Source organism: Homo sapiens, chromosome 11, assembly GCF_000001405.40.
Source record: "Homo sapiens chromosome 11, GRCh38.p14 Primary Assembly".
NCBI lineage: Eukaryota > Metazoa > Chordata > Mammalia > Primates > Hominidae > Homo > Homo sapiens.
Genome location: NC_000011.10, coordinates 33,352,997 through 33,380,752, shown reverse-complemented (window position 1 = coordinate 33,380,752; position 27,756 = coordinate 33,352,997). Strand labels below are relative to the sequence as shown.

Genomic DNA, 27,756 nt, shown 5'->3' with positions numbered 1-27,756 from the left:
TCTAAATACATATGCGCCCAATGCAGTGGTACCCAGATTCATAAAATTCTTAGAGACCTACAAAGTTCTTTGAGACCTGCAAAGAGACTTAGACTCACACACAATAATAGTGGGGGACTTTAACACCCCACTGACGATATTAGATCATCAAGACAGAAAATTAACAGAAGTATTCAGGACCTGAACTCAGCTCTGGATCAAGCGGACCTGATAGATATCCACAGAACTCTCCACCCCAAAACAACAGAATATACATTCTTCTTATCACCATACGTCACTGATGCTAAAATTGATCACGTAATCAGAAGAAATTCTTTGGTATCAGCAAAACCTTCTATCAACATGCAAATATATTCCCTTAATAAAGCAGTCATTCACAACTTACTGTGAATTATTTAAATGAGACAGTATTCTAAAATCTAACAGAAACAGCCAAGCAGGAGGAACAGGAGTGTAGAGACTGAAAATTTAAGAAATTCCTGTTCTGTGCTGGGTATTGTAACAGGCAATAGGCAAATGAAGGTAAATCAGGAACTAATAAGTTGGAGGGAGAAGCACACAGCCGCTCAGAGCCCTTCAGCCGGCAGAGGAGGGCCTGGGGAAGCCCCAGCATGCAGACAGGGTGCTGAGGACTCCTCCCCACAGCGCCCTGTGCTCTGACCACAAAGAACCCTTTACTTTTCCTCTGCCAGAAATGCCACCATCAACACTGCCAACCCCACCTCATCCTTCAAGGCCCCCATGCCCCCAGAATTAACTATTCCCTCATTAGCTCTGATCACACAGCACAGAGGGCAAGGGCCTTGATCGCCCTCTTCTTGAGGAGCTTCTACAAACTGCCTCGTCCTTATTCACCTCTGTATCCCCTGCCCCTGCACAGCACCTAGACAGAGTAAACATTCCATCGTTTCTGCCATTTTAAAACAGCAGGTAGCATTCACTGAGCGCCTACTGTATACCAAGCACTGTTTGAAACACTTTAGATGCTTTAACTCGTGTAATCCTCACAAGAACCCAATGAGATTGGAACTATTGTTGTCCCCATTTTCCAGATGAGAGAACTGAGACCCAGACAGTCACATTGAGTAGCTGCCCGTGAACAGATGAGCACTATCCCTGTACATAACAGGCACACAGTAAATGTTTACTGACATGAACTGAATGGAAGCTCAGTAGTTAAAAAGAGAGTGAAGTCAAATTTGAGCTCTACCATTTTGCCTGGAGCCTGGATGGCCAAAGAGAATACAGGGTGTCAGTACTCAGTACTACAAAGAAACTTCCTTCCCACACCAACCTCCCGCATCCAAAACAGAGCTTACTGACTGGAAGCAAGACGGAAGACGGAGATGGAAGTTAGGAGTCTAATGGAGGGCAGTGAAGATGACAACAGCCTTTTCTTTATGTGGAAAAGAGAAGGAACTCTGATTCCTTTAGAATATTCAAGCAAAAGAGGCTGGGGTGGGGTGGGTGGAAGTAGACTGGGAACACACTGCAGAGTCTCCAGGACAGGAAGGTGCTGAACAATTGCTACAGAATTTTCCAGAAACAAATCTATGTTTGCCCATTTTTCAACCAAGACAAATGTCTGGCTTAGCCTTCCTTAAACAACAAGGGAGAGCAGCCATGTAAATGATGGGACTGTAGCAAGCCAGCACTTTGAGTAAGATCTCAGACATCTCAGGGTCGGACGCATTCTACAATGAGTGGCAACACCAAACCGCAGCGACTCCTCAGAAAAAGTTCCAAACTAGGTTGTTTGCAGAAAGTCAAAGGCCCCAGAAATTGTCATTCATTCTCCTGCCTCCCTCTTGACACCACTTCTTCCCACAAACCCCTTAGGATGCCCTGCATTAGGCCCAGGACTCACCTACCCTGGGGTGAAACTGCCTCCAGTGGAAATCAGAGAACAAATGAGAGCAGATAGGAGGTAAGAGTTACACACAGGGAACCCAGTGTTTAACCCTTCCACTGAGTCATGGAATTGAATCAGTGGCAAACCCACAGAAAACCATGGAGCTCAGAGGTGGACTGTGAATCCGCAGGTGGGCTGGACCACGGGAAGCTGGTCATAAAGGGGGACAGCAGAAAGTGCATCCAAAAAGCATAGAGGAAGCAACGAGTCGCTCGGATGAGATGGAGAAAGACGGAGAGGACTCTGGGGAGGAACATCAACTTTTAATTATTTTTACCATCATTGTAATCAAAGCATCTTTCCCAGCCCCGTATCCCCATGACCACCACACTGAAAGGAAAAAGAAAGAGGACACCAGGGCTAAACCCAAACAATGTGGATGAGAAGTCCTCTAAATCAGGCTCTGGCGGTCTGAAAGAGGAGCCAAGGAAAGTCAGGGAGGTTCAGAAGGCTCAAGGTACAAAGGTCAGAAGGGAAATCAGAAATTCAAAACTGATCCGAGGAAATCACCCAACATCAGGCTGAACAAGAACAACACATGAAAGCCAGTTTCACATATTACAGATGGCTGAACAAATGAACATCATCCCAAAGCAAACATCTCATAAGCAGTTCACAAAAACGACCAAGGACTTGATATCCTTTAATCAAAAACAGGATGTATGTTTCTGAGCCAATGAATACCAAGGTATTTACGTGGGTCTTTCTCAGGCCTTATCTTTTAACAATTATGCCAAATACACATCACTAAAAACTGCTACAGGCATAAAAATCGGGGGCTAAAATTCGTCAGAGGTTTTTCTCAAGTCTGAGGCACACATCCAAAGATTCCTGAACTTTGTAACCACTATAATCGCAATAGAACATTATCTGACAGTAACTCGCAAGCACAAGCACCACCTGTCAGTGACTCTTTAAGTGAATCGAAGGAAAATGGGCTCTGAATTAAGCTGCTGAAGACGAGAAATATTTTTAACCTAAAACTCTCTTATCTAAAACAATGTCAGCCCCTTTACAATTAGGAATTTTAATCTAATTTGGGGGAGGGGGTACTCTGAGAAAGAAGAAGTCATTAGTCCTTGCTAAAAAATGCAAAACTACAGGAACACATTATCTGAAGTGAGAAATATATTCCTTGATAAGGCAGTGTATCAAGAGCTCAGAATTTCGTCAGAAACACAAAAGCCTGCCCTTTCCAAGTGCAGGCAGTAATCATTATTATTTCCAGGACAACTGCTTACTGCACAGCTTAAGTTTTGAAGCACACTTAGCAGAAAAATCCACCCCCACCTAGAATACTTACAACAGATTTCTCAAAATTGTCCAAGGAATTACAGAAATCTATTTCCTGGGGATTGCTGGAAGTCTACAAGCCAAGCATGACTATTTTTAACTAACCTGCAAACAGTGGATTATATACTTAATGAGCGCCTGCATCCCTTTGCAAGGTGCAAGCAATTATTGGAGAGACCTCCTTCCCAAAAGAAAAGGGTTCCGCTATCAACACAGGAGAAACTGTGTTGATATTTGGGAAGCCGACACGCGGATTGCCTAAAACTCTCTAGCCATTTCATGCAGTTAAGACAAAGTGGACACTCAACAGAGAGCCCAAAATACCAGGGACTTTGCCACCCTGAAACGTGTTCTAATGATACATTTCCCGTTTAAGGTGTCCTAAACACACATCTTTCTCTAAATAAAGCGTGCCTGCGGGACCACTAGGAAGGTTCTACAACTTGTCCAAAAAGAAGAGGCGATTGCTCCTTTTTTTTTCTTCCCCGCCCAAAGTGCCTTCCCGAAAGACAGATTTCTGACAGTTCGCCTACTGTTGCAGCAGTAAAGGGCCGGTGTTGCCAATACCTCTCCACCGCCACCTGGGCAGGTGTGGGTCCCGTCCCGCCGCCCCGCTCCTCCAGAAACCTCCGCGGACGCCCCGCCGCCGAGCGCTTACCCGGGTCGGCCTGGCCGTGCTCCAGGAGGGCCGCCAGCAGCAGAAGTCCCAGCAGCAGCGTCGGTGGCCGCGGGGGCGCATCGTGGGACGCGCCGGCCCCGGGGCCCCTCACACCCGTGCAGCGCGCGGCTCCCCAGGCAGCCCGACCAAGCCCACGCGCCACGGGCCGGCCCCCGCGCCCCCGCGTCGCGGGCCCAGCTTCCCTTGAGCCCTGAGGCTTGGCCTCCTGCGGAGCCATGGGGACGCTTCACACATCCAGGCCGCTGCCTCGCTCTGCACCGCGCCGGGGAGCCCAGCCCTCGGCGCCCCGGTCCTCACCGGGCATCGCCGGCCACGGCCCGGGCGCCGGAGGGAGGGGGCGCCGAGCGGCGCGACTGGCTCGCTCGTCCTGCCGCGCCCGGGGCGGGCTCCAGGGAGCCGCGGCTTCACCCGCGCAGGGGCCGGGCCCGCATGGAGCCGCGGCGGGTGCGGGCCGGGGTTCCCACGGTGCCTGTCGCCGCGCGCCGGCGCGATTGGGGCGGCGAGGGTGGGACGGGCGCCGCCCGGGGCCCCCTCCCCCGGGCCGGCTCCTGCAGAACTAGGGGGCGAGGCTGCCGGGAACGGGGGTGGCGGCCGCGGGGCGCGCTCGGGTCCCTCCCTCCCGCCGCCGCTGCAGCCTCGGCGCCCCGCTGTCCTGGCTCCTCGCTCCTCGCTCCTCGCTGGGCTTCGGGTTCCAGCCCCGGCTCCGGCTCGGGTTCCCGGGCCGCGAGTGCTACCGCAGCTCAGAGCGGCGCCTCATTGACAAAGAAAGCACGTAGCCTCCGGAACGGGCGAGGAGGCGAGGAGGCGAGGCCGGCGCGCGCGCGCAGCCCCGCGCGGAGCCACCGCGCGCTCCCCGCTCCCGCGCGCCCGGCCGGGCTCGAGACCCAGGAGGGGGACCCCTCCCGGCGGCTCCCGCGCAGCGGAGGTCCTTAAGGGGAGGGCTTCCCTCCCCTCCTGTCCCCCATCTAGAGAAGGGAAGGTTGGCGGGAGAGAGGTCGTCTGGCCGGGGAGGGGGGTCATGGTCAACGTGCCCAAGCGGCAGGAAAGCTCTTCCGCCTGGATTTTGGAAAAGCTCTTTGTAGAAGGGCGGGCGCGCTTTGTGCTGTTTGTTCACTACTTCTCCGAGGGTTCAACGGACAGCTGCATGCCAGTTTACCCCTGAGGAGCTCAAGCGGCTGTGGGCTAGTTGCAATAACACGCTGGATTAAAACACATTATAAATATTTGTTGCAGCCACACTACGTGCAAAGCATTACACTGCGCACTGGGAAGACTGGGGGAAGTTTTTCCAAAAAAGTCTACACCCCCAAACAGGAGAGTCAGGCAGCTCCTGCTCAGAGGGACAAAAGGCCCAGGCGTCACCTGAGTTGGTCCCCTGCTCTTCGCCCTTGCTAGCCTTGATGGCCTTAGCAAGTGACCTGGCTCATAGGCGCCTCATCCATCCCCAGTCACTGAGTATCTATTACGGGCCCGCTGTTTGCCAGCATCTGTGTTAGGCACTGAGGATACAAGCAGCGGGGAAACACACACATCCTTGACCCGGTAAAGCTCAGACGCTATTCACTCAACAATCCTTACTGACTGCCTGCGATGTGCCAATGACAACAGCCATAAACAAAATCCCTGCCCTCCTGGAGCTGACATTCTAGTGGGGGTTCACCCGCAATAAACAAATAAGTAATAGAATATTAGACTGGTAAATGCCGTAAAGAAAAATCAGTGTAAAAGAATGAAACGTGGGGAGGGGGTGTTGCAAATGTTAAACATTGTGAAGAAAGGCCTCGCTGAGAAGGTGACGTTTGAGCCAAGATCTGAAGGAGGTGAGAACAAGCCATGCGCGAAGAGCATTCCAGATACAGGGAACCAAAAAGGCTAACATCCCGGGGCAGAGCGTGCCTGGTGTGTTAGGGCACAGCAACTTAACCAGGGGATCTGGAAAAGTGTTAGGTTCTAGTTATTGAGCATCTGCAGGATAGAAATAACACCACATTTCATCTAAGACACATACTTTTCACATGTTAACTTTTCAGAAGTCAGATGTGTTCTTATAATATGTCTAAGATTTGTTGAAATATAGTAATGCCTTGTTGGGGGTTATGATTTAATTTTGTTCTTTAATTAAACTAGTTGGGCTGTTTTGGGTTGTGTTAAGAAACTTGCAGTCTGGCCTGGCGCAGTGGCTCACGCCTGTAATACCAGCACTTTAGGAGGCCAAGGCAGGCGAATCACCTGAGGTCAGGAGTTTGAGACCAGCCTGGCCAACATGGTGAAACCCTGTCTCTACTAAAAATACAAAAATTTGCCAGGTGTGGTGGTGCATGCCTGTAATCCCAGCTACTTGGGAGGCTGAGGCAGGAGAATTGCTTCAACCTGGAAGGCAGAGGTTGCAGTGAGCCAAGATTGCACCACTGCACTCCAGCCTGGGCAACAGAGGGAGACTCCTTCAAAAGAAAGAGAGAGAGGGAGAGAGAGAGGGAGGGAGGGAGGAAGGGAAAGATGCAGTCTAGTTGAAGAGATAAAGCAATTCACTAAATTAGTTGGAGACACTGTGAGAAAGCCAGCCCATGGTCATGGTTCAGGCAGCATCACAAGATGAACGGCCCTGCAGCCGGTGGTGATCCCACGGACAAGGCGATGGGGAATGAGGATGTCAGGCAAAGAAGAACTGAAACAAGGGCAGGGTATAGACTCGCTTAGGTGTTGCAGAAAAGGGAGCCCCTGGAGAGAGAAGTGGGCGGAGCAGAGGCAGGGAAGGAGGCAGGAAGATTGGTCTTGGAGCAGTGGGCCTGCCTGTTTGAGACCCAGAACTCTTATGCTGAGGCCAAGTTGTGAAAGGCCTTGGACACATCTGAAGGAGAGGGAGAGGGGAAGATAAGTCACTCTCAGGAGCACCAATCCTGTATCAGGCTCTGAGTTAAGAGCTCCGGAGAACACACAGGTGGATGTGATGGGGGAAAACACGAACCCTTTAGTAGCCACAGCTTCCCCCACCCACCCCTTTTCTGCACCTGGACAATTGTGGTGTTGATGGTGAGTCAGGAACTGAGGAAGCTGGACAGGCTGGCTGCATTCACCCGGGAAGCGACTGAATGTTGCTGGCCTAAAGAGATATAAAAGATCCAGCAGGAGAGACGCTGTGTGCAAAGCAAGAAAGGCAAGACCTGAACACAGCTGGCTTCTCCATGCGAGTTGAGAGAGATTGATTTAGGGGCAACTGCCATGGGGTTGGGAGATAGCAAATGCATATCTCGAGAAAGTAAATTCTGTATTGTAAATGGGATTTTCCCTTCTCCATTATTTGCCAGACTTACACAAATTATAAATTACTTTTCACGTGTTGGTTGTTGCACTGGTGTTTCAATGAATTCGTCTCCCTGATGAGACTGACCTCAAGACGAGATACCATCCCTTTCCTCAAGAAGCCTACAGTCAGCCAGGTGCAGTGGCTCACGCCTGTAATCCCAACACTTTGGGAGGCCGAGGTGGGTGGATCACGAGGTCAGGAGTTCAAGACCAGCCCGACCAACATAGTGAAACGCCGTCTCTACTGAAAATACAAAAATTAGCTGGGCATGGTGGTGCATGCCTGTGATCCCAGCCACTCGGGAGCCTAAGGCAGGAGAATTGCTTGAACCAGGACCCAGAAGGCGGAGGTTGCAGTGAGCCGAGCTCACACCACTGCACTCTAGCCTGGGCTACAGAGCAAGACTCCGTCTCAAAAAAAAAAAAAAAAAAGAAAAGAAAAAAAAGAAGAAGAAGCCTACAGTCTAATGAGGGGGACAGATACATGCAGCAATAACTTCAGAGCAATGTGCTGAGGATGCGATAGAGGTACGTGCAGATCACTCATCGCCATGGGAATGTGAGCAAGGGGTGGCTATTTCTGCCTGGAGGAGAAAAGGCAAAAGAAGGAAACATTTAAAGTCGGAGTTTGCCAGGCACAGCCAATGACACAATAGAAAGCCATGAAAGTCTGCAGCATTTTGCAGGGAAAGATAAGGTATCTGGTGAGAGAAGCACAGAGGGAACTTAGGGAGATTCAGCCTCCAGGCAGGGGAGCCAAGTTACGGGCAGATGTTGAGAGCCTGCGATGCCATGGCATGGAGTTTGTACCTTATTCTTATCCAGGAGGAACCACTCCGGAAGGGTTCTCTGCTGGAGCAGGAAGCTTGGTGAGATCTTTGACTGATGAGTCATTGATTGGTGGGTGACTGTATAGACTCTGAAACTTTACTCAGATTTAAATTCAGGCCTTACCGTTTACTAGCTGTTTAACTTTGGGCACATCATATAGAGATTACTCTATATCTCTCACCTATAAAACTGGAAATGATAAGAGTGACTCCCTCATTGAATTGTCTTGAGAATTGAATTGATACATGTCAAGCATTTAGAAGAATACTTGACACACAGTAAACACTCAACCAATCTTATTATATGACAATTGCAACCCTCTTAAACCATAAACTCTTTCATTAATTTTAGTCTATTTCTAGGGCTTTGGGGCTTTCTCAGTGTGTAAATTTATTGCTACATAGCTTTCAAAAGTCAGTGTGTTTTGTGCAAAGCATTTTGTTAGGCTGGGAAGAAAGAACAATCTTTGGGCAATTGTTTCAGGCCCACAACAGAAATTTCTGCCATTCATAGAGGGGAAATCTCTAGGCCTCTGCTTTCATTCTTTTTAAAATAGGCAGCTATTTCTCCTCTAGTCAAGAACTCTGTTGCTGACACTCCTTGCTGGAGCAAAGCCCAAGTCTACACTGAACTCCTTTTGTGCACCCAGGACCGTTCTAGACTCTAGGATTCCCACAGCAAGCAAGGCCTTGTCCCCACCCTCACTGAACTCCATACTTAGGAATAAGTGGGGGAGGCTGGGCGCGGTAGCTCACGCCTGTAATCCCAGCATTTTGGGAGGCTGAGTCGGGTGGATCACATGAGGTCAGGAGTTCGAGACCAGCCTGGCCAACATGGTGAAACCCCATCTCTACTAAAAATACAAAAATTAGCCAGGCATGATGGTGGGCGCCTGTATCCCAGCAACTAAGGAGGCTGAGGCAGGAGAATCGCTTGAACCTGGGAGGCAGAGTTTGCAGTCAGCCAAGATAGCACCACTGTACTCCAGCCTGGGCGACAGAGTGAGACACCATCTCAAAAAAAAAAAAAGAGTAAGTGAGGGAGATGAGTAAACACTCAATTATGCCACAGTTCAGTATATGCTGTCAGGGGGGCGGGAAAGGATGCTGTGGGCTTCTGCAGAGGAAACTGCTGAGAGAGGAGGTTAGGGAGGCAAGCAAGGGACTGGTGCCATGGTGTATATTGCAGACATTGAGACAGAAGAAATTCAAAACAAAAATTTAAATATGGTTTTCTTTGCTTCCGTGCCCTTGAGAAAACACTGGATATAACAACGATGGGTCGTTTACTGGGCCCTTCCTGCCTGGCACTGTCCTGGCCCTGAGACAAATGCTTATCATATGGGTTCCCCGCAGACAGCAACTGCCCGCAAGGGCAAAGAGATGCAGCTGAATTAACAATGACAGAGGGCAGTAGGGAGCTTAGGGACAAATTTTAAAGCAGAGGAGTGGTGAATGTGTGTTCCAGGAAAATCACTCTGGCCACCTTGTAGAACGGGTACAACAGGGGTGAGATAAGGAGGAGGCCGACTGTAAGAAGGCTGTTGCAGAAACGCAGGTCAACTAGCTTTCCCCTCCCCCTTATATCTCAACCTGTTTTTCTAAAAACAGTTTCCCAGGCCCACCCCAAGGCCCAGCACATCGGGCCCAGCAAGACGGTAACAGCACCCACTAGGACCAGCCCCTAGACTCCAGGGTGAGTGAGACTGATCTCAGTCCTCAGGGTGTCCCCCACAGCAGCCTAGCTACTCAGTGTTTGTTGACTTCAACTTGACATCCATTGATGACATTTCAGCTCCTCCAGGTTCTGGCTAATTATCCTCTAAATCCTCCAGGGGGGCCAGGCTCAGTGGCTCACGCCTGTAATCCCAGCACTTTGGGAGGCCTGGGCGGGTGGATCATTTGAGGTCAGGAGTTTGAGACCACCCTGGCCAACATGGTGAAACCCCATCTCTAATAAAAATAGAAAAATTAGCCAGGCATGGTGGTGCACACCTGCAATCCTAGCTACTCAGGAGGCTGAAGCAGGAGAATCACTTGAACCCGGGAGGCAGAGGTTGCAGTGAGCCGAGATCATGCCACTGCACTCCAGCCTGGGCAGCAGAGTGAGATTCCGTCTCAAATAAATAAATAAATAAATCCTCCAGTGGGAGGAGGCAGGGTCTTTTGTTTGTTTTTTAACGATCAAAGGTCAATCTGTCTCTCACTAATACTTCTGTTGCTTTTGGGATTCATCCAATAGCAGAGCAGAGATCTGGTCTAGCATTTGACAGTATGGGGCTAGCTCATTTTTACTGTCTCTCTTTGCCCTCAATTTCTTGTCTCACTGTGTTGAGACTATTTCTTGGGCTCTGTGGGGTGGAAACCAGGATTGGTCATTGAAAATCTCAATGATTTACAACCTGAGTTGAAGTCCTAACTCCATCACCTAATAACTAGTAACCTTGAGAAAACTTTAAAACGCTACCACACTATCCCTTTCAGAAACTAGAGATATCTACCCAAGATATCAAGATACATGTATCTACTCAAAACAAATAAAAGCGTATGTTCACACAATGCTTTTACACAAATATATGGAGCAGCATTATTCACAATAGCCAAAAAGTGGGAAGAACTCATGAACTGGTGAAAAGATAAATAGAATGTGGGACAACCAAATACTGTTCATCGATAAAAAGGAAGAAAGTACTGATACATGCTACAACACTGATGAATTGAAAATACTATGCGAAATGAAAGAAGCCAGTCACAAAAGGTCACAATATTCTATGACTCCGTTTGTATGAAGTGTCCAGAAAAGGCAAACCAAAGAGAAAGTAGATTAGTGCTTACCTGGGGCTGGTGAGTAAAAACAAAAAGTGACTGTAATGGGCACAAAGTTTCTTTTTAGGGTAATAGAAATGTTTTAAAATTAGATTGTGGTCATAGAGAATTTAATGTCCTCCTAAAGCCAGGCACAGTGGCTCGAGCCTGGAATTCCAGCACTGGGAGGCCCAGGTGGGATTAGTTGAAGCCAGGAGTTCAAGCCCAGCCTGGGCAATACAGCAAGACCCTGTCTCTAAAAAAGTAAAGAAAAGAAAAGTCCTCCGAAAAGTCCTCCAAGAGATTGGACATCATCTTGACAGTGACAGTGAAAATTTGAAAGCAGGCTGGCATCCAAAGGCAACTTCAGAATTTTCATGAGAAGCTTTGAGGAAACTGGTCCAGGACTCGTCTTGAAGCTGAATTTGATAAGAAGAGCTCTGCTTTCACTTAGGTTATGTTTACTTGCCCCTTCTATTGCTCCAAGCATCTCCTTGGCACCTCCACTGCTACTGTCTTGGTCAAAATTGAATTTTAAAAAGACCACCTGGAAAGTAATGAGGAAGGTTGGAGGAGTGGGGGTGGACTCAAAGCCAGGAAGTCAGATAAAAGTATTAGTTTGGATAAGTTCCAGGTCTGAACTGAGGCAGCACAATGAGGATGGTAAGGAGACAGGAACAGTGTTGAAGGATTTGACAGGGAGTAACCAATGATACCAGGAGAAAGAGGAAGAGGAGGAGGGAAAGGGAAGAGAAGGGAAGGGAAGGGAAGGGAGAAGGGAAGGGAGAAGGGGAGGGGAAGGAAAGGGAGGGGAGGTAGGGGAGAAGGAAGGAAAGTAGGAAGGAAGATAGGTATCTGGGAATACAGGAAATATAGATACAGGAAAATTAGGCTTGGGGGAAAAAAACAAGTGCTAAAAGGAGCATCCAGGTAAAGCTGTCCATTAGGCCCAAGTTTCACAAACTCGAATGTACACATAAGTTACATGGGGATGTTGCTAAAATGAAGATTCTGATTAAAAAGGCCTGGGGTTACCATGGCTAGAAAAATTCCAGAAAATAAAGAAATCTATTTTTAAAAAATTTTGAAGTGAAAAAAAAGTAGTAAAAAAAATTGAAATACAAAAAGAAAAACAAAAATAAGTAGTAAAAAATACAAAAAAACACAAAAATATACAAAAAAAAAAAAAAGAGAGAGAGAGAGGCTAAAAAGAACGTCTGGGGTCACCCAGGAGTCTGCATTTATTTATTTATTTATTTATTTATTTATTTAAGAGGGAGTCTTGCTCTGTTGCCCAGGCTGGAGTACAGTGGCGTGATCTCAGCTCCCTGCAACCTCCGCCTCCCAGGTTCAAGCGATTCTCTTGCCTCAGCCTCCTAAGTAGCTGGGATTACAGGCATTCACAACCATGCCTGACTAATTTTTGTATTTTTTAGTAGAGAAGGGTTTTCACCATGTTGGTCAGGCTGGTCTCAAACTCCTGACCTCAGGTGATCCACCCGCCTCAGCCTCTGAAAGTGCTGGGATTACAAGCGTGAGCCATGGCACCCAGCCCCAGAGTCTGCATTTCTAACAAACTGTCAAGTGATGCCGAGGCTGATCGGAGACAACTCTTTGAGTAACAAGATATTGGGCCATTCGGTATAGGGCTTATACCTAACGTCAGTGAGTGAATTTTTAAAAAATCAAATCCCTAAGCTTTGGTAGTTGTTGAAAAGCTATTCCTGTGTTTTTACAAGAAACGAAAAATGAAAAAACAAAAAACAGCTTCATTTCTACTCTTCACTTCCCTGGAGATGACTAGGCACGGCCTCTGTATCCGTGGTTCTGCATCCACAGATTCAACCAACCTCAGGTGGAAAATACTCAGAGAAAAACTATAAAAAAATAGCAATACAGCAATAAAAACGTGGAAATAAAAAACAATATGGTATAACAACTTTTTGCATAGTGCTTACATTGTATTAGTATTATAAGTAATCTGGAGGTTATTTAAAGTATATGTGGCCAGGCACAATGACTCATGCCTGTAATCCCAGCATTTTGGGAGGCCAAAGCAGAAGGATCGCTTGAGACCAGGAGTTCCAGATCAGCTTGGGCAACAGACCTCATTTCTGCAATAATAATAATAATAATAATAATAACAAAACAAATAAACCACACTTTTTAAATTAGCTGGGCATGTGGTGCGTACCTGTATTCCCAGCTACTTGGGAGGCTGAGGTGAGTGGATCACTTGAGCCTGGGAGGTTGTGGCTGCAGTGAGCCATGATCAAGCCACTGCACTCTAGCCTGGGCAACAGAGCAAGACCCTGTCTCAAAAATAAAAAAGCATGTAAGTATATGGGAAGGTGGATGGATGAATGGATGAAGGTAGTGTACGTATATATGCATGTATGTATGTATGTATGTATGTATGTATGTATGTATGTATGTATTACAGACAAAATCTGGCTCTGTCACCCAGGCTGGAGTGCAGTGGCACAATTATAGCTCACTGGAGCCTTGAACTCCTTGGCTCAAGTCATCCTCCTGCCTCAGCCTCCAGAGAAGCCAGGACTACAGGGTGTGCCCCCACACCAGCTACTTTTCATTCTTTTTATTTTTGTAGAGACAGGGGTCTCACTATGTCACCCAGCCTGGTCTCAAACTCCTGGTGTCAAGCAATTCACTGGCCTTGGCCTCCCAAAGTACTGGGATTACAGGCATGAGTCACTGTGCCAGGCCCAAAGTATATGAGATGATGTAAATGTGTAGTTATATGCAAATACTATGCCATTTTCTATCAGAGACTTGAGCATCTGTGGATTTTGGTGTACAAGAGGAGTCCTACAACCAATCCCCCACACATCCCGAGGGATGGCTGTACTTCCTCACCTGTTACCACGGGGGATTTGCAGTGCCCTTCTTCCCTGATGATTCTTTCCTCCCCACTTATATTAGACTAGGGCATGCAAATTCTTTTGGCTAATGGCATGTGACAGAGATGACAATGTGCCAGTTTCATTCATAAGCTTTAAGAACCATTTCAAGATTCAACTCTGCATCTTTTCCCTCTTCCAATAAGAAAGCATGTCCAATATTTTTTACTCTTTCAGTCAGAATCCTAAAATAAAGAAGGCCCATGGAGCATATGTGACCTGCAGACAGAAGCAGAGCTGCCACCAATCTGGGAGCAACATGTAACAAGGGAAAAAGATAAGCCTGTGCTGGTTTGGGGTACTAAGATTTTGGGGATCATTGTTACTGCAGTATAACCTATTGAAAGCTGACAATCAGATTCTGTCAGCTATTAATGAAAGAAATAAGGCTGGGAAGGAAAGAGAAGAGCTCAAACAAATGTTTCACTTTTTAAAAGTTATTAAATTTTCAAATATATCGTCTTGATGGATACCAAGAAGATATAGAATAAGGTTATAGGCTTATTGTAACCCTTTAGATTATTTGAATGCAGTTATCAGGGGAGTTTAAAGAATATGAGCCTTGAAATGATAGCTCTGGCTATGCCATTCTTCCTGGGAACTTAAACAAGCCACAGCCCCCTTGCTTAACATAAATGGGAAATACCAGATGCTTCATGAGGTTCTGCAGTGCTGTGCTAAATCTCGCTTGTGCCAGCTTGTGAGAGCCAATTGTTAAATTTACAGGAATTTTATGAAGCCGTTGTTAAACACAGTCATCATTAAAAATTCAATTACATAAAGTTACAATTAAATTATGTTAAAAGCAAAGGTAAATACAGGGCAATCCTCACTTTACATGGATCCAGGATACACGAATTTTGGTTATCACCATTTAGTTAAATAATACCAGTCTGCCAACAACGCAGTTCAAATTTTAGTCACCACAGTATATTAGCTGTGAGTGATTGCATAAAGTACAAACTTCATTGCTAGCTCTTTGGTCCACAAATCACTTTGTAGGCAATAGATGTGCTTCATGATCAGTGACCAATCGCATCTCTTCTTTCAAAGACTGTCAGTGATGGAGCACTGCTCATCCGTCATTCAGTTCTTGCAGACAGCAAATTGTGTGGTTGTTTTACCTTCTTGTCCTCCAGTGACGAACCCACATGACATTTGACAAAAATGGATAGAATCAAAAGAGGCAGTTGACCAACAAAGATGAGGGTGCAGCAAAGAAATAAAAAGTGACAATGCTGGAAGTAAAATTTGACATAAATGTAAGTGGAATTGTAGAGGAAATAGCTCATTGTAGGAATGTTGACACACTGCTGTTCTAGAGTCTGTACAGGTGCAGCCAGAGGAACTCAGGGAAAGCAAACTTATCAACATAAATGAGCAAAGTGGCTCTGACAAAAAGAATGAAGATAGCCCAGAGAGGAAGTGATGCTGAAAAAGATTCACATTAGAGAAATTCTCAGAGATATTTCACGACATTCAGAGCACAGAGGATAAAATGTTGGAAGCTGATCCAAACTTGCAAAGGAGTATGACAATTTGCCAAGGTATAAAAAAGGTGAATCCTAAGTTATATGATAAGAAGAATGCAAACACCATTTAAACTACTGATACATTTTTTTGCAAAGAAATAAAACGCTTAACTCTCAATGCTTCTCATGTTTTTAATTGGTATGCTATATAAATATTAGCTTTTCTATTTTTTCATTTCCCTATACATTTACAACCAACAGTAAGAGACTTAGCAATGCTTTAACAAAAAAATAATGTTAAAGGTCATGGAACAATTGTAATTTTTCCCATTGATAAAGATCACATAGTCTGAGCTTCTATAGTCATTTTTATGGCCACACACTGCTGTCCAAAGTAAGGATGAGTTATACTCAAAACATATCACCTTTGAATAATTTTACTATTATCTGTGCTCTTGAAGTTATTTATGTCTATCTTATCTATGTTAAATGGTGCAAATCTCTTTCCAGCTCTGTGTTCAGCGACATTGTGCAGATAGCTTGAAATTGTTCTTGGTGGGAGCATTTACACCATGAAAATTGGCAAACACTACAAATCAGGGCTTGACTTATTGTTTTGTTGATCATCTAGACTTGAGAAAGTTATGGAGAAAATGTTAATGTGGACTATATTTAAATGTTTATCTTACCTATGGTTGTACATTGTTAATAACAAACAAAATATGGGGAAAAAAGGGAAAGCGTATTCTTCCAGTATTTGAAAATTATCGTCAGATAGAGCAAAGAATTCACTCATGTCATTGTTGAACAAGTGAAGTTCTAACATACGTCTTTGTTGTTTCCTTTTGGTCTTAAATGTAAAAGAAAACAATAACAAACACTGACATCAAAAGTATACTTGTTGATCAATACCATGAGCAACTTCTTGGCTAAATCAGGTAGTAATCAAGCATTTATTCATAGCCTGATTTTGTCAAATCATGGTAGAATTATAACCTTAAGTTGGAAGAATTATAACCTTAGGCTGGCTGTAAGTATATAAATAGATATACTGTACTATACTATACTATACTATACTATACTATACTATACTATATGTCTATCTATATACTCTTAGTATGTCTACAGCCAACTTAAGGTTTTACTTAAGTCTATACTTATAAGTATACTTATATGTCTGGTAAAACTCAACAAAAGCATTCTATGAGAACCAGTTGGCCATATGGAATTTATAATAAAGACTGTTGTATACTTTATTATCATTTATAAATTATGTGCTACCATTCTTTATATTCATGTAATTTATAACAAATTTATATAAATACATATGAATACCCCCTTACCCACCCAGCTAGTTGGTGAACATTTGCCAGCACTGCATTTTAGAGAATGTAATTAGGTGGGACTTTCACAGCTGTAGAGTCAAACAGGGACTGGAATTTCACCATTGCTTCTTTCTGTGTTATCTTTGTTTTGTTTTGATTTGCTTTGTTTTGTTTTGTTTGGAGTCTCACTCTGTCGCTCAGGCTGGAGTGCAGTGGCACGATCTCGGCTTACTGCAACCTCCACCTCCCAGGTTCAAGTGATTCTCCTGCCTCAGCCTCCCAAGTAGCTGGGATTACAGGCACGTGCCACTATGCCCAGCTGATTTTTTGTGTTTTTTAGTAGGGACGAAGTTTCACCATGTTGGTCAAGCTGGTCTCGAACTCCTGACCTCAGGTGATCCACCTGCCTCGGCTTCCCAAATTGCAGTGCTAGGATTACAGGCATGAGACACATCGCCCGGCCTCTTTCTGTGTTATCTTAAGTAAACTACTGAGCTTCTCTAAGCCTTTTCTTTTTCTGCAAAATAAAAAAAATAAAGAAGGATTTGTCACAAGAAGGGGTTGTTGTGAGAATAAGCCACATAAAAGGCTCTGGTACAATGTAGGTGTTGAATGTCTGTTACTCTTTTCCTCTTATCTTTTCCTTCCACTTCCAGCTGCCAAATCCTCTAAGTTTTATTTCCTTTGCTGGAGATAAAATGATCTACACGTTTTCGTACTACATCGCAGGTCTACCTGACAGCAGAGAAACGAATGGATGAATGGATGTCTTCCTTTGATTCCTTGATAAACCAGTCAGTCTAAGTAGTAATTTAAGAATTCATGGACGGTTGAAATCCTTTCTCACTTTTTCAAAATATATAAAAATTAGAAACAGAGCCGGCCGGGCACTGTGGCTCACGCCTGTAATCCCAGCACTTTGGGAGGCTGAGACGGGCGGATCAAGAGGTCAGGAGATCGAGACCACCCTGGCTAACACGGTGAAACCCCGTCTCTACTAAAAATACAAAAAAATTAGCCGGGCGTGGTGGCGGGCGCCTGTAGTCCCAGCTACTCGGGAGGCTGAGGCAGGAGAATGGCATGAACCCAGGAGGCGGAGGTTGCAGTGAGCCGAGATCACACCACTGCACTCCAGCCTGGGCGACAGAGCGAGATTCCGTCTCAAAGAAAAAAGAAAAAAGAAAAAAAGGAAAGGAAGGAAGGAAGGAAGACGAAAGAAAGAAAGAAAGAAAGAAAGAAAGAAAGAAAGAAAGAAAGAAAGAAAGAAAAAGAAAGAAAGAAAGAAAGAAAGAAAGAAAGAAAGAAAGAAAGGAAGGAAGGAAAGAGAGAGAGAGAGAGAAAGAAAGAAAGAAAAAGAAAGAAAGAAAGAAAAAGAAAAACTGAGCCAAGTGTGGTGGCTTATGCCTGTAATCCCAGCAATTTGGGAGGCCGAAGTGGGAGGATCACTTGAGCCCATGAGTTTGAGGCTACAGTGAGCTATGATTATGCCACTGCCCTCCAACCTAAGTGACAGAGAGACAGAAACATCGTCTCTAACAATAAAAATTACAAAATTAGACACTCCGACATAGCCTACACTGCTCATATTTCTGCTTTGCTATTTTCTTTAAAGTTATTATGAGACCAAACTTAAAAAAAAATTTATTAGGAAACTTCCCCCCCTGCTGGCCATAATACAACATAGCAATACTATATTGAACGGCATTACTAAACGTCAAACTGAAAATAAACTCAAAATAACTAATCTTGCAAACTGCCTACCCACAGACCAGCTCTGGCCTGAAGACAACTTGTGTTTGGTATACACCATGTCTAAAATAATTTTTTTAAAAAACTTTTGAATTAGTTGCCAATATCTGACATGCATATTTCTGTGTTTTCTCCAAAAAGTAGACATTGGTGCACATTTGGTCTGCCATCCTACTTGTGTTTCCTGATTACTTTGGGTGGGGCTTTGACTCTCCACTCGGCCAGTCCCCACTCAGTCTGCTTCATCTACTTATGGCATCTGCCCAGCCCTTGCTGCTTTTAAGTTTGCAACCCCAGGCTCTCTCAATTTGCCAATGAGTACACTGAAGCCCAAACTTGCTCAAAATCATACTACCTATAGTAGCAGCAAAGCAGATAATGAAATATGGGCCTCCTAAATTGCATTCAACAGATGTTTATTGATTTCATTCATCTATTTAACAAATGTTTTAGTGCTGACTGTGGCCAGGTACATAGCAAATGTCAAAGAAACAGAGTCTGCAGGATTAAAATGGCCTTTGTCTTTAGAGCTTACAGTTAGTGCAAAGAGCAGGTGGGCAAGGCAAGAAATATAATGAAAGTGATGAAACAAGGGATAAGGGAACTGTGGCGATGCTGCAGCACAGTTCCTGCTCTCACCTCAGCACCTGGTTCAAGTTCATCATCATCATTGAGAATACAAATATTACCAAGATTTTCTAAATAATGTCCTCAAACCCTAGGGCCCACATTGATTCAACATTCACTGGGCACAAGTGCTAAATACTAGAGAAAGAGTAGTAAATGCTGCATTTACTACATTACTTCTCCCAAGCATGCCCTCTAAAATAGTCACTCATTCATCTCCCTGTTCATCCTGCCTTCGGAATTACCATCTGCAATCAGTGTGCTAGGCTAAGAGGGACTCAAGATCAGTAAGATCCATGGAGTGTGCAGTAGTTGCTGGGCAAGCCACATCTCTGCAAAAATAGGAATCAGACATACCCTTAAGTAATGGAGACATGGGATTAAAGCTAAACTAAGAGAAGAGCAAAAACGAATCATGACACCACGATTAAACACCCATGACATCCATGACTGGGAAGTAGTACAAGACAAAGGGATTAGTTTTGTGCCTGACCTGTAAAAATTACTCTGAGTTCTTTGAAACCTGGGCTTTTTGTTGAAATGGCTGATTTCAGATCTGAGGCAGAAAAGGTACAAGGTGAGCCCAAGACATTCTTTTGGGCCAGAAAGCAAGGGAACATTCAGACAAATGTGGTGATGTCAAAAAGATTCAGGGGTCTTGAAGATAATTGGTCACTTTAACCTACTGAATAAAGCAAAATCCATGAACCCATAGTGATGACAGAAAAACAGAGAGCGAGAGAGCTTGTGTACAGGGAGAAAGCCTGTTTTTACAGAAAGATGCCAGGTCATGAATGTATTTAAGAGAAGGAATCATAGAGTTGAAAATCACTATTTTTGCAATCCCCAGTGTAATAGATTCAGACAGCAATCATTAATGGATGCTAAAAACACCGAGTAAAATGTTATTGATACTTTCAAAGTATCACCCCACCAATGACAGTGGAGAGATTTGCCAGTCATCACTCTTTAACTGTCATCCCTGATAGTGAACAACCTGACGTGACACAATGACGCAACTCCTATAATTACCTTTGCACATGAACACCGAATTAAGGCATTAGAACCAGCCTCTACTTTACAGAAAATAGAGATGAGCCAATTAGGACAAATGAACAATCAGACAAATCCAGAATGTACAATATTCTAGCCTGAACTTGTGGCTCATGCCTGTAATCCCAGCACTTTGGGAAGCCGAGGTGGGTGGATCATTTGAGGTCAGGAGTTCAAGACCAGCCTGGCCAACATGGTGAAACCCCATCTCTACTAAAAATAAAAAAATTAGCTGGGCATGGTGATGGGGGCCTGTAATCCAAGCAACTCTGGAGGCTGAGGCAGGAGAATTGCTTGAACCCAGAAGGCGGAGGTTGCAGTGAGCTGAGATCACACCACTGCACTCCAGCCTGGGTGTCAGAGTGAGACTCCATCTCAAAAAAAAAAAAAAAAAAAAAGATGGGGGATGGATGGGGGACTGTTCTGAATTAAAAGTAGTCAGAGACATGCCATAGCCAAGGGCAATGGGTAAATCTTAATTGGCTGGTGGAGTAGGGGGAAAATAGCTACTTGTTTCAAGACATTCTTGACTATGTCTATTTGACTATGTCTAATTTGACTATGGACTGAAAACTAGATAAATGTTAGAGAATTGTTAACTTTGCTAGATGTTATAAGGTCTCATGGTTAGTTGAAAACGTCATTATTCTTACAGATGCATGCTTAAGTATTTTGGAGCAAAGTATGATTAACCAGAAATGGCTCAATTTAAAAACTACACATAAACAAGCTGGGCGCGGTGGCTCATGCCTGTAATCCCAGCACTTTGGGAGGCTGAGGCAGGTGGATCATTTGAGGTCAAGAGTTCAAGACCAGCCTGGCCAACATGGTGAAACCCCATCTCTACTAAAAACAAAAAAATTACCTGGTGTGGTGGCACGCACCTGTAGTCCCAGCTACTTGGGAGGCCGAGGCAGGAGAATTGCTTGAACCTGGGAGGTGGAGGTTGCAGTGAGCCGAAATGGTGCCACTGCATTCCACCCTGGGCGACAGAGCAAGACTCCATCTCAAAATAATTAATTAATTAAATAAAATAAAAACTACACATAAACATACAAAGCTAATGAGGCCAATGTCAGCTGATGAATCTAGGTGAAGGTTATGTGTGTATTCACTGTACTACTCTCTTTTTCTTGTTTGTATTTTTTAATAAAAAAATAGAAGTATAGAAATTCTACATGAGAAAAAAAGTTGAGTTCTTTGGATTCTCCAGTCACTGAAGAAACAAGCAACTATTAGAATAAATCTGATCACTTTTGAATTTTGCATTTTGGCATTCAAATGTTTGTGCAGTTTGTAAAACATGCAAAATGCCTATAAATTCAATGCTATAGATTGAAGTAGCAAATATCTGTATCTGAAGTTGCTTACATGTACATTAACTATCTGAAAACATACATTTTTATGTTTTAAAAAATCTATTTTTCTGAATTAGCCAAGCATATTGTAACCATGTATTATATTTACAATGGGGTAATATGAAACATTAACATCTGACTTTTCTACTTCAAATAACCACACTTCTAATTAGGTGTTAAGTGTAGTTTCTCAATTACCATTAAGTAAAAATTTGACACAAAAATTAACATGAAACGGACAACTGACTTAATAAAAGCTAAAACTATAAAACTCCTAGAAGAAAACAAAGGAGAAAGTATTTGAAACTTAGTGATAGGCAAAAATGTCTTAGGACACAAAAAGCACAAACCATGAAAGAAAACATTGATAAGATGGACTTGAACAAAATCCAAAACTTTCGCTCTTCCTAACGCCCTGTTAAGAAACTAAAAGGGTAAGTCACAGACTGGGAGACTATATTGCTAATACAAACCTCTTAACAAAATATTGTTATTCATCCCTCTCACCTAGACTACTTCAGCAACCTCCTACCTGGTCTTCCGACTCCCACCCTGGCCCTGCAATCTATTCTTCATTCAACAGCCAGACTGATCTTTAAGTTAGGTCATACTGTTTGCCTGCTTAAAATCATCCCATGGCCTCCTACAATATATGGAATTAAATCTACACTCCAATCTTTGGCAAAAAGCCTGCATGCCCACTCTTACAGTTGCATTTTCTATCTCTTGCCACCCACTCAAACACTATGCTCTGGCCATAATGGCCACTTCCTATTTTGCTCATATTAAAAGCTTAACTTGCTGCTCCGTCTGCCAGATATTCTTTCTTTGCATGCCTGACCAGCATTCTCCTTGTCACAGCTCAAGTGTCACCTCACTGAGGCATTCCCTGACATGACCTCTCCAGTCACCCTATCCCCGTACCGTCTTCTTTACTTACCCTACCTGAATCTTACTTTAGTCTTCTCCCCTGGAAAAAGGTTAAATCCATAAGAGCAAAAGGACCTCTGTTTTGTCCATTGGTACATGCCCCGTGTATAGTGCTTGAAACATAGTAGATGCTTCAAGGTTTTTTAAATGACTCATGATGTACCCACTATATGCCAGGCACTGTGCTGGGTAGTTACTGGCTGAATGGTTTAAATGTGTTGCTCAAAGCCCTTTTTTCATCCTATTACCCTGTTTCAGAGAAAAAAAATTTATATTCCTAGATCTATTTAAATAGCTGAATGCTTCTTAGTATTTTTTTCAAGAGGCTAATTTACTTTCAAGTAAATTGCAAAATCTGAATTTCATCTCTATGTACGATCAGTGCTTTGACCTAAATGAAAATGTTCATGTTATTTTGAAAAACTCACCCTCAAAAGAATGACTAAAACAAAAGAAACAAAAAATAATGTGTTAGTGAGGACATAAAGCAACTAGAACTCTCATACATTGCTAATAAGTGTACATTAACTACTTTGGAATAGTGTTTGGCAGTATCTGTATACACCCTATGTCCTAGTAATGCACGTCTACATATATACCCAAAGGAAATGCATGCATATGTTCACCAAGAGATATGGACAAAACATTCATGGCAGCCCTATTCATAATAGCCAGGAGGTAGAAACTATTCAGATGTCAAATGTCCATCAACAAAATAGTTCTGTATACACACAAAGGATTACTATACAGCAATGAGTATAAATGAACTACACACAACATGGATGTATCTTATAAATGTTTAACAAAAAATAGCCAGATGCCAAAGAATGCATATATGTTATACTTCAATTAAACATTGATAGGGGAAGGCAGAAATTGAAAATACGTATTCTCACTATTGTGTTCTGGGGGAGTGCTCCCCTAGAAACTTTCCAACTGAGGTTCCTTGAAAGTTAGATCCTTGAATTATGAGGTGTTGGTATTTTAGGATGTAAGCTGGCCTACTACAATCACATTCTTTCGAAGTCATATGTTTTAAGTATTAAAGATACATGTGAATTCCCTATTCATCCACACATATTGAACAGAAATTATTTCTCTCAAAAAATATTTGCGGAAACTTAATATTGAAGGAAAATGGGACAGGGTCATCTTATGGTTGCAGGTAGTCCGGGTACACTGCCTCAGACTTCGGTTTTAAAAGAACTGATAGAAAGTAGATTAGTTATGGTTTGATATCCTGGTGTGTATCTCAGATTCCAACTCATTGACAATGTGACTTTGTGCAAGTTCCCTAAACATTCTGCAGCTATGCCCTCATTTGTGTAACAAAGATAATAATACCTATCTCACAAGGTGGCTTTGAGAGTTAAATAAGATGATGTAAGTTATTAATAGATACTCAATATTGTTAACCTCTCCCTTCCCTACCCTGTAAGGAGTATTGGGGTGGAAAAAAAGTCAACAAGCTGTTTGCTGCAATATATATATTTTAATTCAAAGTGAATCGACAGTAATACACCATAAATTCTTATTTTGACACTCACCAAAATAGTCACCTGGAAAACCCGCTTTTTGTGACAAAGTACAGAAGGCTTGGTCACATTTAAATCACTGAGAACTAGAGAGAAATACTATCGCAAACCGTAATAGACATTACATCCATAAAATTTTCCCAGTCCTTATTGTAATATTGCACAGTGCAATTGCTACATGGCAAACTAGTGTAGCATAGGAGTAAAAGCAAAAACAAATAAACCAAAGAAAGAAAGCCACAAGTCTAAAATTGTTAAACAATTAACAGTTCAAACTTAGTAATCAAATCTGTATCATTGGATTCATTAAAACAAATCTTCCTACACCTTGCAGTGTATGATTTAACTTTTACTTAACACAGTCCAAGTTTAAAATTAGCAGATTTTAAAAATGAAAATGTTTTGCTAATACAGTAACATATTTAATTAAACACGCTGGAGGAAAAAAAAAACAACTAAATATCAGGATATTTGATTTAAAAAACATTTTGCAAATTAAAATAGTATGCAAATATGCAACTTGGAAATCATGCAGTGTTTTATTTAAGAAAGCATTAAAACCGAAGAAAACTGGTCAAAATGGTTTTTAAAAGGTATAAATCCAGATTACTTTGTCAATATGCTAAATTAAGAATTTAGCAGAATTTTGAAATTTATTTTAAAATACATTAAAATGCCCATGATTGCAATTAAAGAGCAGTGTAGTTAACTGGGATATACCTTTATCAAACATTAATACTGTATTATGAAAATGTTGAAGTTTACCATTTATGTCAATTTAACAAGACTGCTTTAAGTCTTGGAAATTAAAGACAAAAAATACAACATTTCAGGGTAGTAAACATGGCCCTAAACAAAAAGAAAACTCTGTCAGTTTTGTACCTGTTGTGATACAATCAATCCTTTGCACTTGGTGTTTCTGAAACAATGTGTTGCCAGCATTGATTCTTTCCTAAGAAGTAAGCAGATCCTAATAATCTGCTGGAACATATAAATAAAATTAGAAGGCTGTGGAGGGCAGCAAATTTACTTAAATAGTGACCCCATAAATGTGTCATCTGTAAATAATCTTTTAAATTAATCTTAGGCTACTCCTTTTTAAACATTTAATTTTTTATATATATATATTTCTATTTGTATAAAATGCATAGAATTAATTACTAAAAACACTGAAACTTGTGGGGAAAATTAAGTCCTTCATTTTCAGTGTGACTAAAAATGTACTGCTGGTTTTTACTTTATGATCTAATACTGTAATTTTTAAAATCAATTTCAGGCACATTTATTTCATTGATGATTATTAAATAAAACACTGCTTGTGTTAATGGAGTGAAGAAAACTTATCCATTATTAGCTTATTGTGAACGCTGTACTAGAGCTGTACTAGTGGTATACAATTCATTTATCAAAGAAACGCTGTAAATCCAAAACATCTAGAGTTTTACACTCCAATGCTTTGTACTGTTTATTCCAGTAAATGCTGTAAGATTATATTCCAGATTTTTAAGGAAAAAAGTTAAGTCAAGCCTGCAAGATACAGCTTTCTCAAGTGTCTACAATGCCAGTATGAAAATAAAAAATTAAGTTACACTGATACATCCAAGTTTTTTTAATATGCAGTGATGAGCACAAACATTAATAGAGATAAAATACTGATGCAAATAACACACCCCAAAGTAACAAATGCAATTATTTTCCACCATTTACAATACAGTAGTTACAATGACACTCCAAACAGAAAAGCAAAGTAAAAAATCAAAACCCCAATTTCTATTCATGTAATTAGACTTATACAGAAATTAGAAGGCTAAATAACAACTAGTTAATCACCTAATTTCACAGCTATCTGAAGTGGCAATCGTTATATAGCAGCTTATCTATGATACATTCAAGATAAATGATACAATTTATTACTTGCCTGTAAGCTAAAACACAGCCTCAATTTAATACCTTTCCTTAAATTCCACCTTTACACTACAATATACTTGAGGTCTATGCAAAAAGTAGCTACCTTTATATAGGAAATGGATGATTAAGTCTTTGGTGCTGTAAAAGCAACTTCATTTAAACAGACATAACCACTACCATCACCACCACCCAAAAAAGAAAAAAATGTCGGGGAAGGGGGGAACTCAACACACTTCCTAGAAAGAAAAAAAAGCATGTAATTTCTGTCCCTGACGGAATGTATTAAATAAGCAAACATCACCAACAAGCAAAACAAGTACTGCAATGTAAAAATACTTAAAAAAAAAAAAAACCCTCTCACATGCATAAATCAAAAATTGCACACAAAGAACTCACATCTTTTCAAGCTTCAATAGTAAAAGTTCTGCTACTATTTATTAAATACTGCATGGTTTGCCCAAGCTAAGATAAAACCACATCATGAATCAATGAGCATTTTGCATTTTATTATCTACCCAAAGTCATGCCTACTGTACCTCTAAACATTTTATTAAGTCCAATTATACAGCAAACACTCTCAAAATAAACTTAGATTGTATTGCAGTTTCACTTAACAGTATATAAAATGCTGTGCTGTGACAGTTATCAACTATCCATTAGATACTGAATCAATTTTTCTTAAGCACTACTAACTGCTTGCTTTTCTTGAAGCTAGATCATTCTGAAAAATCAGACAGCAGAATTCAGCTATAGCAAACATGCTGCCCTCTTAATAAGGAAAAAAACAGCTACTACCTGAAATCATACCACACAAAAACAAAAATGAACATTACGCTATCAAAAGGAAACTAAATAGTAGGTCTGAATTTTAAGTGCTGCAGTCCTCAACATTTATATATAGGTAATAACATTAACAACCTCAAATATTTAAGGCACTATGTGTAGGAACGGTTTACAATGCAGCTGAGATTATTAGAACAACATTTAAGAGCAAAGTCTAGGCAACATTTTGCCCATGCAAAAGACACATGCAAATGTAAAGAACAATAGCTCAATTTCTTAGGTAAGTGACCCAACATTTATACACTAAGACACGGATAATACAATTCACTTGTATGCTGTAATTCTGACATATGTGCATCTGTTGCTCTAAGTCTGTACACAGAATGGCTTCCCAAATGTAGACGTGTCTTGCACTAGTTAGAAGGCAATTTATAAAAAATAGCAGGAGCAAAACTGGACTTCTGCTCCCATAAGTCACCTGTCTAGAGTTACTACATAAGAAGATAACATGACCAAAGACAAGTTATACCAAATGTGCAAAACACATCAAAAGTGAGTTTTTAAAGCTCAAAGTTGTTTAAATTGCACCCAAGTCTACATGATTCAAAAATAATTTTCTTGTGCCATGGCTAATATTAAATACCATGTTTTTATTTTTAATCAAATGTTTGTATCATTGAGCTTCCCCAATATACTGTTTTTCACATATATGGATACTGGCTGAGTTTTGTTGGACTCAGTGGAAATCCAGTATATGCAGGTGATGCTGCAATGTAAGAATGTGGTGGGAAGATTGGTTTGTACTGAGTCTGATGAATGGTTGGGGATGGTAACAGACGGGGATTTAAGCCCACTGGGACTTGGTGAACTATGCCACTGGGATGGGAGATATTATAAGTTGGATGCTGTAACATAGGTCTTGAGGTACACGGAGAGGCTAACAGGTGGGCCACTGGTGCAGCACTACTGAGGGTGGCTGATGATGGGTATGGAAGTAGAGTAGGCTGTCCTCCGAGGTGTGTATTTCCAGCCAGGTGGGCATGCACTGCTGTGTGATTGGGACTTCCATGAGAAAGAGTGAATGGATTACTGGTAACACTAGTAGGAATATAAGCTTGCTGTCTTCTGTGCCCAAAGTTTCCATTCCACTCTTGATGCCCAGATCCAAAGTGCTGAACCTATCCACAAAGAAAAAAAAAAAATGACTGAATAACATACCTTAAAAGATAAAAGGAAAGAAAGAAAGGGAAATTACAATATACCCTTTGTGATT

General features: G+C 42.3%; 2 protein-coding genes across 16 annotated transcripts in view, besides 4 other annotated features; both read right to left on the bottom strand.

The window, feature by feature from the left end:
• Positions 1-4,645, bottom strand: part of KIAA1549L (KIAA1549 like) — a 297,995-nt gene extending 293,350 nt beyond the window's left edge. For all 9 annotated transcript variants that reach the window (XM_047426719.1, XM_005252848.4, NM_012194.3 and 6 more), the window contains exon 1: positions 3,864-4,645. In XM_047426719.1, coding sequence (XP_047282675.1) covers positions 3,864-4,101 — 238 coding nt within the window. In that variant the 5' untranslated portion in view covers positions 4,102-4,645. The remainder of the gene's footprint in view (positions 1-3,863) is intronic.
• Positions 3,780-4,059: a silencer, noted in NCBI's record as "silent region_3238". NCBI's record gives its function as "represses an Ori minimal core promoter by ATAC-STARR-seq in GM12878 lymphoblastoid cells {active_cell/tissue: GM12878}" and the evidence as "EXISTENCE:reporter gene assay evidence [ECO:0000049][PMID:35858748]".
• Positions 4,190-4,289: a silencer, noted in NCBI's record as "silent region_3237". NCBI's record gives its function as "represses an Ori minimal core promoter by ATAC-STARR-seq in GM12878 lymphoblastoid cells {active_cell/tissue: GM12878}" and the evidence as "EXISTENCE:reporter gene assay evidence [ECO:0000049][PMID:35858748]".
• Positions 4,430-4,669: a silencer, noted in NCBI's record as "silent region_3236". NCBI's record gives its function as "represses an Ori minimal core promoter by ATAC-STARR-seq in GM12878 lymphoblastoid cells {active_cell/tissue: GM12878}" and the evidence as "EXISTENCE:reporter gene assay evidence [ECO:0000049][PMID:35858748]".
• Positions 4,700-4,759: a silencer, noted in NCBI's record as "silent region_3235". NCBI's record gives its function as "represses an Ori minimal core promoter by ATAC-STARR-seq in GM12878 lymphoblastoid cells {active_cell/tissue: GM12878}" and the evidence as "EXISTENCE:reporter gene assay evidence [ECO:0000049][PMID:35858748]".
• The window catches only part of HIPK3 (homeodomain interacting protein kinase 3), a 100,352-nt gene continuing 96,325 nt past the window's right edge, over positions 23,730-27,756 (bottom strand). For all 7 annotated transcript variants that reach the window (NM_001278163.2, NM_005734.5, NM_001048200.3 and 4 more), the window contains one exon: positions 23,730-27,661. In NM_001278163.2, coding sequence (NP_001265092.1) covers positions 27,185-27,661 — 477 coding nt within the window. In that variant the 3' untranslated portion in view covers positions 23,730-27,184. The remainder of the gene's footprint in view (positions 27,662-27,756) is intronic.